Here is a 12,912-nt window from a genome sequence, read left to right as displayed (position 1 = left end):
AGGAGTTCGAGACCAGCCTGGCCAGCATAGCGAAACCCCATCTCAACCGAAAATACAAAAAATTAGCCAGGCATGGTGGCGGTGCTTGTAATCCCAGCTACTCGGGAGACTGAGGCAGAAGACTTGGTTGAACCTGGGAGGCGGAAGTTGCAGTGAGCCAAGATCGCACTGCACTCCAGCCTGGGCAATAGGAGCAAAACTTCATCTCAAAAAAAAATTAAAAAATAAAAAATATACATTACATACAAAAATACAAAATGAATGCAGAAATACAAAGAATCACATTTACGTGATTTCAGATACTGAGAATCAGAGTGTAGATTTTAGAGTCAGTAACATCTGAGTTCTAACCTTTGCTCTGTCACATGATAGTCATGTGACCTGGACCAGGACATTTTACCTCTTTCTACTTCAGTTTTTGTATCTTGGCAGGGACTTGTAAATCCTCAGTGTATGCAGCAAAAAAAAAAAAAAAAAAAAAAAAAAAATACAAAATACAGGGAAAATGTAGGAAAAATATCTAAATATATATATATATATGAAGATTCCTGAAAAAGAGGGGTAAGGAAGAAAACTAGACACCAAATAGTTTCCTACTCCAAGATTTTAGAGACTTCAGTGGTATTCTTGGAGTCTGAAAAGCTTTGTAGTTTCCAAGAATTTCTGGTTGCAATGGGGTAGGGAAAAGATTGGGGAAAGATAGGGACCTTATTTCCTACGGTCCTTCTGAGAGCCATATGCTTTATATGTGTACTCATTTAGTACCTAGGACCTTCTGACACTTTCTTATGTTGCTGGTGGAAGTATAAATTATTAAACCTCTTCATAGGTGTTTTGGCAATATATATCCAAATAAAAAAGTGCAGATGTGCACAATGAAGGTTGTATAGGGATATTCACTGCAATATTGTTCTAATATTGTTCTAAAAGCAAATTCATGAAGGGATCAGTTGAATATTATATATTCATATAAAGACTGCCACCATTGAGAAGAATGAGACGTCTGCATTTTCTGACAAGAAATGATTTCCTATACATATTTACCATAGGAAGCAAGTTGTGTAAGGAATGCTACCTTTTTGGCAGTGTGTTGGGAGAGGTTATGCACACACCTATCTACCTTGCCCAGGTGCTTACTTACACTGTCTCTGGAAGGCCACACAAGAAATTTAACTTTTTCAGAAGAGAAGTTTGGGGACACAGGATGGAGGGAAGCTTTTCAATCTATTCCCTTTTATACATTTTACATTTGTTACCAAGTGCACGTGTTGCCTTTTAAAAATTGGGTTTTTAAACACATTTACCACTACTACTCACCACCAAAACCTTCCCCCCTCAGCTCTTCTCCAGGGCCTTGACTGGCGCTGGCAGCTCACCACCCCTTTTTTCTCCAGCAAGAAGCCACTGGTTTAAGGGAGATATGAGAGGTGGGGTGGATACGCAGGTGGACATTTACTTTTCACTCTATATCTTTTATTTTTATATTTACAATCATGTGCATGTAATACTGTTACAGGAAAAGGGTCCCAATCCAGACCCCAGGAGTGGGTTCTTGGATCTCACTCAGGAAAGAATTCAGGGCAAGTCCGCAGTGCAAAGTGAAAGCAAGTTTATTAAGAAAGTAAAGGGAATAAAAGAATGGCCACTCCATAGACAGAGCAGCCCCGAGGGCCGCTGGTTGCGCATTTTTATGGTTTTTCCTGATGATATGCTAAACAAGTGGTGGATTATTCATGCCTCCCTTTTTTAGACCGTATAGGGTAACTTCCTGACATTGCCATGGCATTTACAAACTGTCCTGGCACTGGTGGGAGTGTAGAGGTGAGGATGACCAGAGGTCACTCTCATCGCCATTTTGGTTTTGGTGGGTTTTGGCCGGTTCCTTTACTGCAACCTGTTTTATCATCAAGGTCTTTATGACCTGTATTTTGTGCTGACCTCCTATTTCATCCTGTGATTAGAATGCCTTAACAGTCTGGGAATGCAGCCCAGTAGGTTTAAGCCTCATTTTACCCAGTTCCTATTTAAGATAGAGTTGCTCTGGTTCACACGCCTCTGCCATTACCTTTTAAAAACAAAAAATCCATTTTTATTTAAAAAAAAAAAACAAAACCTCCAGACCCCTTCTTAACACCTCTTCCCTCACTCCACACCCGCTAGCCCTTTTCATGGGACAAGCTCACCAGCTGGTCCTTCTCCAGCAAAAAGACCAGAGCTTTCTGCTCTTAAGGGAGGGGACTAGGGATTACGGAACAACCCCAGAAGAAAGGTGATGAGTTAACTGTTTAGAAGGTTAGTGTTGGTTCTTTTATTCGATTAAACAGGAATACACATATATCTACCAAAGAATAGGTAAGGGAGAAATAAGAACACTAAAAAAACTCGGAATCGTTAAGTGTGAAGCATATTTGGAGTTAAAAGAACCAAATATTACTAAGTAAGCAGACGCGGGCACGCGCTGCATACCGGGATTTGTAGTCCCTTCCGGGGCGGGGTACAGCGCGCCTGCGCAGAGGGGCCGTCGCTCTTCCGGGCGCATGCGTGCGGCAGCGGCGCCAGGACTGACTGCGCCGTGGAGGCTGCTGCAGTGTTGTGAGTTGGAAGCTGGGGAGCTCGGCATGGCGGTCCCCGCTGCAGCCATGGGGCCCTCGGCGTTGGGCCAGAGCGGCCCCGGCTCGATGGCCCCGTGGTGCTCAGTGAGCAGCGGCCCGTCGCGCTACGTGCTTGGGATGCAGGAGCTGTTCCGGGGCCACAGCAAGACGCGCGAGTTCCTGGCGCACAGCGCCAAGGTGCACTCGGTGGCCTGGAGTTGCGACGGGCGTCGCCTAGCCTCGGGGTCCTTCGACAAGACGGCCAGCGTCTTCTTGCTGGAGAAGGACCGGTTGGTGAGCTGCCGGGGCTCGGCTCAGGCTAGGGAGAGGGGCCGTGGTGAAGTGAGGTGCGGTAGTGGGAGAGCGAATGGGGGCGAACGGAGCCGCGGGGGTGAAAGGAGAGTGGGTTTGAGGGAAGGGGAAAGGGGGAGTGTGGAGATGAGGAGGGAGTAGGGAGAAGGTGGAGTGTGGGGGTGACGGGGTCGTGAGGGGTGAGGAGAGGAAGACTGGGGGCGTGTGAAGAGTGTGGAAGTAAGGAGGTTGGCGATGGCGGGTGAAGGTGAGGAGAGGGTGGATGGGACAGGGCTGCGATGGGAGCCTTACTGGTTTGGAGTCGAATCCTGTGCTGATAAGAAGTGGCTAGGGGCTGTGGTGGTGGTGGTGGTGGTGGTGGTGGTACGTTGGTGGTGGTACGTTGGTGGTACGTTGGTGGTAGAGTAAGGGTGGAAAACCAGGAAGGAGGAGAAGGCCAGGGAGGGCACAAAAGTAAGGGCATAGGTGTGGAAGCTGAGAAAAACAGTTCAGAAGGCCTGCGGAGAAGAGAAGGGAGAAAGGGCTTGGAGGAACTGGATTCTGAATTACCCAGATCTTTACTGGTCCCAGCATACTTTGGTTTGAATAAGCTTATAAAGTTACATGCGGAGGCAGTTACATCTATGTGAAGTCACATCTGGATTCTGTTCTTTCAGGTCAAAGAAAACAATTATCGGGGACATGGGGATAGTGTGGACCAGCTTTGTTGGCATCCAAGTAATCCTGACCTATTTGTTACGGCGTCCGGAGATAAAACCATTCGCATCTGGGATGTGAGGACTACAAAATGCATTGCCACTGTGAACACTAAAGGTGACTATTCAGAGAGAGGGCAATAGGAAGATAAGCTGTTTGGATTCATTCAACAACCATTTTCCGAATATCTTTTCTGTGCTTGGCACTCAGCTGTGTATGAGACATCCTGAGCTGAATAAGAGTTTCCAGCTCCAAGGACCTCCCCTGCGGGGAGAAGACATATATATACAAATAACATAGCAAGATATGGTTCATTTTATAATGGAGAGGTCTGCAAGGTGGATACCCAGAATAGAAATGAAAACAAAAGTCTGCCTAGGGGAGCCAGGGAAGGCCTCACCAAATTTGAGCAAACTTTTAGGGTAGCCATAGGAGTTGAGTGGTCAGGGTGCTGTGGGTGGGGAATGGGACATTTCCAGGAGGGAACGGCATGTGCAAAGGCATGGAGAATTTGGAAAATTCTGATGAGTTAGAATGGTTGAAACTTGGATGGTCTTGGTGATCTGGGAGAAAGTTGTGCAGTACATTTATAGGCTCTGTTGTAAGTATTGAGGCCGATATTGTATGGGACTCTGAGTTTTCATTGATCGTAAGATGTTCCATTAGGAAAGAAAGTTGGTAAATAACTGTGATACACCCAAAATTTTGAAATGCTTTCTGATACATTTTAAGATACAGTGTAGATACTAAAATGTGAGAAAATATGCGTTTTAGAATGGAAAAAGTTGGTGAGATTTTTAATTGATGTGTTCAGTGTGGGCCACTGGACTTTGTTGACAAGACTTATCTCTGGAGGCGGAATGGTGTGGTTTTTCCCCAAGTATACAGCTGCTGATCCATGAGTGATTCAGGTGATGCGTGGGTGAACATTAAAAACCAGTTTTGCAAATATCTTAATGTCTACTAGAAGAACTAGCACATAGAATTTATTATTCAGTTGAAGCTAAATTTATTTTATTTTTATTTATTTTATTTTATTTTTATTTTTGAGACAGGGTCTTGCCCTGTTACCCAGGATGGAGTACAGTGGCACAATATTGGCTCCCTGCAGCCTCCACCTGGGCTCAAGCCATCCTCTCACCTCAACCTCCTGAGTAGCTGGGACTACAGGCACATGCCACCATGCCTGGCTAATTTTTTGTAGAGACGGGTTTTGCCATATTGCCCAGGCTGATCTTGAACTCCTGGACTCAAGTGATCTGCCTACCTTGGCCTCCCAAAGTGCTGGAATTACAGGCTTGAGCCTCCACAGCTGGCTGCTAAATTTATTTAAGTAAACTTTTTTGAATCAATTTTAAGAAAAATCTTGAATAAAGAAAAGTATAGTGTTTAATGGATAGGACAAAAATTGTGATGTTGGCATGCGAATGGCTGGAGTTGAGAAATGCTGGTGTAAGAGAAAAGGGGGCTTTGGGGTCAAATCTGGGTTTAAAATCTTGGCTTGGCCGGGCACGGTGGCTCACGCCTGTAATCCCAGCACTTTGGGAGGCCGAGGCGGGCGGATCACGAGGTCAGGAGATCGAGACCATCCTGGCTAACACGGTGAAACCCCGTCTCTACTAAAAATACAAAAAAATTAGCCTGGTGTGGTGGCAGGCGCCTGTAGTCCCAGCTACTCGGGAGGCTGAGGCGAGAGAATGGCGTGAACCCAGGAGGTGGAGCTTGCAGTGAGCCGAGATTGCGCCACTTCATAGCTCTGTGACTTCATAGCTTTGACACTTTGGCTTGTCGTCTTATCTCCTATTTCCTTCATCTATAAAATCTTATAGATTTTATAAATGGAGATAATAAAGTGTATGTTAGAGGAGTATTGTGAAGACCAAATGGGGAAATGTGTAGATGAAAGTTCTGGACTTATTGTTGAATCATAAGTGGTAGCTCCCTTCCATTGTCTAGGACTTTAATGAGTAAGCCCGGAAGAAAGCTCTGGTCTTCTTTCTAGGATAGTGCAATAAACTTGTGGAAGATTATGAGCAAACAGATTATCTTGCTGATTATGTCTGGGTTCCCAGGGGAGAACATTAATATCTGCTGGAGTCCTGATGGGCAGACCATTGCTGTAGGCAACAAGGATGATGTGGTGACCTTTATTGATGCCAAGACACACCGTTCCAAAGCAGAAGAGCAGTTCAAGTTCGAGGTCAACGAAATCTCCTGGAACAATGACAATAATATGTTCTTCCTGACAAATGGCAATGGTTGTATCAACATCCTCAGGTGAGGGGGTCTAGCTTAGGGGACTGTCATGTCTTTGTGCTGGGTGCTGTGTCAGATATGGAGATGAATTAGATGTGAGCCTATCCTGAAGGAGCTTAAAACACAAATAGTAAGAGAGAATCCTAACCTGTCTTAAGTACATTTGAGCTGTATATTTTATATACTTTATATTTTACTGAGTCCTTACAGAAATTCTAGGGGTTGATGATTTGCTTCTCATTTGACAGATGAGGATCTGAGGGTGAGAGGTTACATCAGTAGTCAGCTAGTGTGTGCTAGAACTGGATGCACCTTGAATTATGGCTAATTCGTACTCCCTTTTTTTTTGTTTTTCGAGACAGAGTTTTGCTCTTGTTGCCCAGGCTGCAGTGCAATGGTGTGATCTTGGCTCACCGCAACCTCTGCCTCCGAGGTTAAGCGATTCTCCTGCCTCAGCCTCCCAAGTAGCTGGGATTAGAGGCATGTGCCACCACACCTGGCTAATTTTGTATTTTTTGTAGTTTAGGGTTTCTCCATGTTGGTCAGGCTGGTCTCCAACTCCCGACCTCAGGTGATTAGCCCGACCTCTGGCTAATTCGTACTCTTAAAGTTTCAACTGAAATATCACTTTGCCTTCAGGGAAGCTCCCCCGCTACCCCAAGGTTAGAGGTAGGTTAGAGGCGTATTTTATATACTTTCTGTAGGAAGCACTTTTCTTTCTATATTGTAATTGCATGTTTATTTGCCTGTGTCTCCTGTTAGACTGTGAATTCCTTGATGGTAGGGATGGTGTTTGCCTTGTTTAGTGTTGAGTCCCTAATGTCTAGTCCTGTACCTGCTCCACGTAGTAGGATCTTAGTAAATATTTGTTCTGTAAATGAATGAAACTGTGGAGCTGAAATTCAGGTCTGTTCAATTCTAGCCTTCCACTATCCCAGGTGAACAATGCAAGACCAAGTGAGATAGGTTCTGTGAGTGGGAGGCCAGGAGTTTGCTGTGAAATTCCACGGAAAGAACAGACATACTATATGGGGGGTTGAAGGAGGGAGCTTGTGAGCTTGATCTTGAAAGATGAGCAGAATTTTAAGAATAAGCAAAAGGGAACCACATAACTGACAAAGCAGGTGTGAGTGAGCATGACTTACTTGGAGAGTGGTTAGGTCAGGGTTGTTGGGGGAGTGGTGGCAGATAAGGGAAATAAGAGAGGGCATGATAATGGGAAGATGAAGTCTAATTTGGGACCAGATTATAAAAGGCCTTTATTTTATGCTTAGTATCTTGGGTTTTATTTTGTAGGCAATGGGGATTCTATAACTTTTTAAGAAAAATCTTTTTATTATAAAACACAGATATTGAAAACCACATAAAATAAATGTATAGCTTAATGAACTCTTATAGGCTTAACTCTTGTGCAACCCCGCCCAAGTTGAGAAGTAGTTCTTTCCAGCCATCCCAGAAGTCCATCCAGGTGATTTGTCCTAATTACAACTTCCTTCCACAAAAGCAAACACTATCCTGACTTTTATAGTGTTTCTTCATAGTTTATCTACCACATGTGCAGCCCCTAGATACCCTAGTTTTGCTCATTAAAAAAAAAAAAAATTGATATGTCTTTTGTATCTCTTAAATTACTCAAAAGAAACTTCCGAAAACGTAGCTGTTGAAAAACCAGACTGTTAACCTGTGGAGATTCTCCCAGTTTGGCTTTTGCTGATTCCATATGCTGTTTATGTGTTGGACTGTTGTGTAAAGAGATGCTGCTTCTCATCTGCGATTTGGTTACCCAGTAGTGTAGTTCATGTAGGGAAGGCAGGATAAAATTTTGATTCTGTTTGTCAGATAATGATTTTGTTTCCTGCTACCTCCAAAGATGAGCAGTTAGGTGTTTTTTTTTTAAAGAATCATTACGGGCTGATGTTTTTAAACATAGTTGGTGTGTTTCCATCTCTTGTAATTGTTACGCCTGTTGAAGCTCAAATTATCCCATCTTTGGCCAATAAGAACCTCTTCAAGTTGGTTCCTGAGACCTTTTTTGACATAATCCCATCGTCTTCTGTTTTTTTGCTCTCTGGTTTGATAAGATGTTCCAAGTTCATCTTGTGCATTTCTTGCCCCAGACCTTTAATCAGAACATTCTCCAAGAAGCCTTAACATTCTGGCTGGGTGCGGTGGCTCACGCCTGTAATCCCAGCACTTTGGCACTTTGGGAGGCCGAGGCGAGTGGATCACTTGAGACCTGGCAATCATAGAGAAACCCTGTCTCTACTCAAAATACAAAAATTATCTGGGCGTGGTGACGCACGTGTATATTCCCAGCTGCTTGGCAGACTGAGGCAGGAGAATCGCTTGAACCCGGGAGGCGGAGGTTGTAGTAAGTTTAGATTGCACCACTGCACTCCAGCATTCTGGACGACTGAGTGAGATTCCACCTCAAAAAAAAAAAAAAAAAAGGAGCCTTACATTCTTTTACTGAGAAATGATACTGAAGTTAGGAATGTTCATTACTGCTGGGTTGGCCTAGGAATTACGTGTGTGTGTGTGTGTGTGTGTATATATATATATATTTAAAGATAAAATACCTTATGAATTCATGTTGATAACTTGCAATCAAAATTGAGGACTCCAGGGATTTTACTAAACCTCTTCTATATTACAAATATATTTCTTTCCTCCCAAATTGAGTATTCTGGTTCTCAAGGGCACAGGGGATCATAGAATTAGAATATCCGATGGTTACTTATTACCTATCTCCCATGGTAAACATATAGATGTCTCAGAACAACAATATTACTGCTGCTACCACCAATGTGATGACTTGAAACAAAAAATGTTTTTGGTTTTTGCATATACTCTTTCCATTCTTCCCCCATTAAAAAAATAGTACTATATGTTGTAAGCATGTGCAGATGTTACATATTATACCCTCTCTTTAAACCATGTATAGTTTTTGCAAGAAACTGTATATTCAGTGTTGAGCACCAGTCCTTATAAGTCTCTAGTCATTTTTTTAATTGAAGCTCATTCTCTAGTTAAGATTCCTCGGGAAGCGTTCATGGGAACATTATTCCTGGAGTTTTTATTACAACTTATTTACGTACTTCTAAAACTTACAGATTTTATAAAACGTTATTGTGCTTATTGTTTGTATCATTATATTTGAAATTCAGTTTTGCTGGATGTAAAAATCCTTGGCTCGTTTTCTCGCTTGTGTATCTTTCTTAAATATGGTACTCCATTTTCTTTTGGCATTAAGTGTTGCTGTCAGAAAGCCCAATAATCTAATTTTCTTTTTCTTTAAAGTCCACTAGTTTTGCTAGTCTCTGTCTCGATGTTGGTAACTTTGGTTCTGTAGTCTCAGGTATGTGTTGTGCTTTTTAAATAATGTAGTTCAAAATCTTTTTTTATTTCAGGAATGTTATCTTGAATGACAGTTCTTGGTGGTGGTCTATTATCTTTGCTTTTCTTCTTCATCATCTCCTATTATTGTTTCAGCACCACAGTCCTCTTCTGCAGTTTGATCGCTGTCTTTTTTCTCAGCTACCCAGAACTGAAGCCTGTGCAGTCCATCAACGCCCATCCTTCCAACTGCATCTGTATCAAGTTTGACCCCATGGGGAAGTACTTTGCCACAGGAAGTGCAGATGCTTTGGTCAGCCTCTGGGATGTGGATGAGTTAGTGTGTGTTCGGTGCTTTTCCAGGTAAGTGACTCTATCAGCACTTCCCTTGTTGGGTACATTAATTTTATTTCATCTTGAGTGACATTGTTCCCTCCTCTTACTTGGTAATTCTCTTGTCTCTTCTGTCCACTCTGTATCATAGGCTGGATTGGCCTGTAAGAACCCTCAGTTTCAGCCATGATGGGAAAATGCTGGCGTCAGCATCGGAAGATCATTTTATTGACATTGCTGAAGTGGAGACAGGTAACTTCATGAGAATCTACCGTCTTTCACCTTTGGCAGTCAGGACTTCTCTTGTGATCTCATCTCTGCATGTGACTACTTCACCAGCATGATCATGAATGAATTTGTCTCCTTTAGACAAGTATGTTTCTGTTTTGACTGTCACTGCCAGGTGGTGAGGAAGCAAAGAGTTAAGAAATAAACAGGCAGGTCTGAGGAAAGTGATTTAGAAAAATATTTTGATTTATTTAAACTTTAAACTACAGAGTAGAAGGAAGAAAAAAGCACCACTTGGGGTCCCACTCTCTAAATACCACCTGTTTTAAATGTTGTGATATATTTCTCTTTATCTTTTGCCTGTATATGAACTTGAAAAAATATTATTTAAAATTTGAGGAATTATAAAGTTTTTGCTTTAAAAACAACAGAAGCTGGAAATAGAAAAATGGGAGGAGAGTATTCATTTTGCAAAAGAATTTCCTCAGATTTGTTTTTTAATGTTGCTTTATTGTTTTTGGAAATCTTTGACACTCTTCGTAAAAAGATTAAAACTGTATAGAAAACTTCGAAGAGGAAAGTAAAGAACTTGAAATTCCACTATGTAAAGAATGCATGCCCCTGTTAGTCACGTTGTGGTGAACATTGTCCAGCATCCAGCCATGCAGATCCTTCATGTAACTGCATGTCCCTGTGACGCGGAGACACTTTCCTGCTCAGTGACCTGCTCTTGAGTTAACCCACCTGTGCTCAGAACCGGCTCTGTCCTCCACTGGCTTGTGGGCTCTCTGTGCCTGGGGGTTCTCTGTAAAATGAGGTAATAGTTGTATCTATCTCATGGGATTAGTAGGTGGATTAAACCAGTTAATACTGGTAAGTACTTAATGAATGTGTCCTTCGTTTTGAACGTATTGATTGGTTTCTCTCTATTGTTTTCTGTAGGGGACAAACTATGGGAGGTACAGTGTGAGTCTCCGACCTTCACAGTGGCGTGGCACCCCAAAAGGCCTCTGCTGGCATTTGCCTGTGATGACAAAGACGGCAAATATGACAGCAGCCGGGAAGCCGGAACTGTGAAGCTGTTTGGGCTTCCTAATGATTCTTGAGAGGAGGTTGTAGGGAGAGGAGGCCCCGGCAGAGGTCTTCCTTCATGTGGTTAGTTTGGTCTGTTCTCTCGGAGTTGGTGGGCACCCTAAATATTTGTAAGTTGGTATAAATTGTAAACGTCTCTGGTCAGGCTGCGCATTTCATTCTTTTGCTTTGTCTGTGTATTAGCTCTTTCCATTCTTTGCCCCCAGCATGAGTTAACTCGCGTGGACTCTGCAGTGCGAGTAGTGACCCCACCATACCTTGTCCTCTGGACCTCCTGTCTTCTCTGCTTCTGGGTGCATGGTAGACTTTGTGGCATTTGATACAACTTGGACAATACCTAGTTTGGAGGGAGGGGAATGGAAGGGCATGGAAGTTTTTTTAAATAATTAAAAATATATATATATAATTTTGAGAATTGAGCATTTAATAAACTGACTTTTGTTATTATGGAACTTCTAAGACTTTTAAAATTATTATGTCCTTGAGTTGCAGTTTTGTATTTTTTTTTTTTTTAATTTCAGAAAGAGAATTTAAATGTTATAATTCTGTCATTTAATGTCCCAACCAAGAAGCCTCTGAAATATAGGGACAAAGCTAATTGAATGACCAAACTAAAATTTTGGCTCTGAGCTTCCTGGTGGCAAAGTGAAGAGGGGAGTAAGTCATTTAGCTTTCTTATTGAAAAGAAAAACACTTATTGGTTCCTCATGGAAAGCAAAGCTTTATTAGTTCTTCCCTCTAAAAAAAAGGGCTTATGTTTGGAGGGTTGTTACCTAAGAGCAGTGGTTTTTCATTATATTGTAATTTTGTTTGGTGTTAAAGCAAATATTGAGGCATATAGAAATAGTGTTGGTAGAAAATTTTGGAAAAAGATAAGCAAAAAGAAAAATTACATTCCTAGCACCAAGAGGTAACTGCTATTAGAATTTTGATGTATATCCTTCCAGAAGTTTTCTCGTGTCCATGTTTATGTATAAAAACATGTTTATCTTCATACATGAAGGGTAGACAAACCAAGTATGGCAAGATAAGTTAGGCAAGGTGCATAGCACCATGTTGGGGAGTATTATAAACACTCAACAAGTCTTAATAGACATTTGTAGTTACTGGGCATTCACTACATGCCTGCTACTATAAGGAACACTTTTATCAGCTGTTACTCAGTGTTTGCAGCAGCCTTCTGAGGTGGGTGTTATCACCATTTTACTACCTCAGGGAGTTTAAGTAACTCAGTGTTACTCATCAAGTGACTGTATTCAGATCTAGGTTTGTTTAAAGGCCCATGTGCCTTTGCTTGTAATGGGCTACTCTGTTTCTGCAAGTATTGCCATTCCCGCTTCACAGATGAATAAACCATGGCCATGAGAAGTCAACTGTTGGCTCATAGTAGTGAGTGATGTGTTGAGCAGGTGCAGTAGTGTGCACAGTAGTGTTTGCAGTAGCGTTTCTCACCTTCCCTGATGAAGGGTCTTTTCAGTTGCAAACCAACTTGCCACCTCAGCGGCAGAAGTTGAGTGTTGTTCGTGTCACCGTGAGTAAATTTGATGCATTATTTCTTGTTTTTGCAACCATCTGTCATTCCTGTGGTCTCTGCCATGTTTATATATTCCCTCTAGAACTGGTACCAGATGCTGAGGGTTTGGGCTACATCTTAATATTTGATTGATTCCCTCTTCCATCCTTGTGGATTTTTTTCTCCTCTGGGTTTATGTAAATTAGTGATCCACACGACCTGTCACTTAAACAAGAGGAAACTTTGCATTTAACTGGTGGGACACTTGTAGCAACAGGAGAACACACATCCATGAGCAAGGAGTCCCAGTGTGTGTGAGTTTTTGCAGACTCTCAAGGTCTTGATGACACCATCTCTGTGCCTTGGCTTTGAAGTACTGGAGGAGTTCAAGGTGGGTCCATCCTGGGGAAATGACATGTCTCAGACCCGGGGCCCCTTTGGTTTGAGTGCATTTTCTAATTCTGCAGAGCTGGAAGGATGCCATTCAGAGTCACAGCTGGCCATTTATTATTTGGTCTGTCGAGGCGTTTTCTGCAGTTGCTACTACACACATCA

At 42.4% G+C, this 12,912-nt stretch overlaps 1 protein-coding gene across 2 annotated transcripts, besides 1 other annotated feature; it reads left to right on the top strand.

Annotated features, from left to right (window-relative positions):
- Nucleotides 1-2,511: 2,511 nt before the first annotated feature.
- THOC3 (THO complex subunit 3) lies at nucleotides 2,512-11,296 on the top strand. 2 transcript variants are annotated; one of them, NM_032361.4, is made up of 6 exons: nucleotides 2,512-2,885; nucleotides 3,560-3,716; nucleotides 5,672-5,876; nucleotides 9,393-9,554; nucleotides 9,676-9,776; nucleotides 10,695-11,296. In NM_032361.4, the coding sequence occupies exons 1-6, from the start codon at nucleotides 2,619-2,621 to the stop codon at nucleotides 10,856-10,858; spliced, it is 1,056 nt and encodes a 351-aa protein (NP_115737.1). In that variant the 5' UTR covers nucleotides 2,512-2,618; the 3' UTR covers nucleotides 10,859-11,296. The 2 variants fall into 2 exon arrangements, with proteins under 2 accessions (NP_115737.1, NP_001363831.1); NM_001376902.1 differs by lacking the exon at nucleotides 10,695-11,296 and having other exon boundaries at nucleotides 9,676-10,637.
- Nucleotides 2,773-3,295: an enhancer, noted in NCBI's record as "OCT4-H3K27ac hESC enhancer chr5:175394535-175395057 (GRCh37/hg19 assembly coordinates)". NCBI's record gives its function as "activates a minimal SCP1, AML or CMV promoter by ChIP-STARR-seq in naive H9 embryonic stem cells {active_cell/tissue: H9 hESC(naive)}" and the evidence as "EXISTENCE:reporter gene assay evidence [ECO:0000049][PMID:30033119]".
- Nucleotides 11,297-12,912: the final 1,616 nt, after the last annotated feature.

Source organism: Homo sapiens, chromosome 5, assembly GCF_000001405.40.
Source record: "Homo sapiens chromosome 5, GRCh38.p14 Primary Assembly".
Taxonomy (NCBI): Eukaryota; Metazoa; Chordata; class Mammalia; order Primates; family Hominidae; genus Homo; species Homo sapiens.
This window is presented reverse-complemented; position numbering and strand designations above follow the sequence as displayed.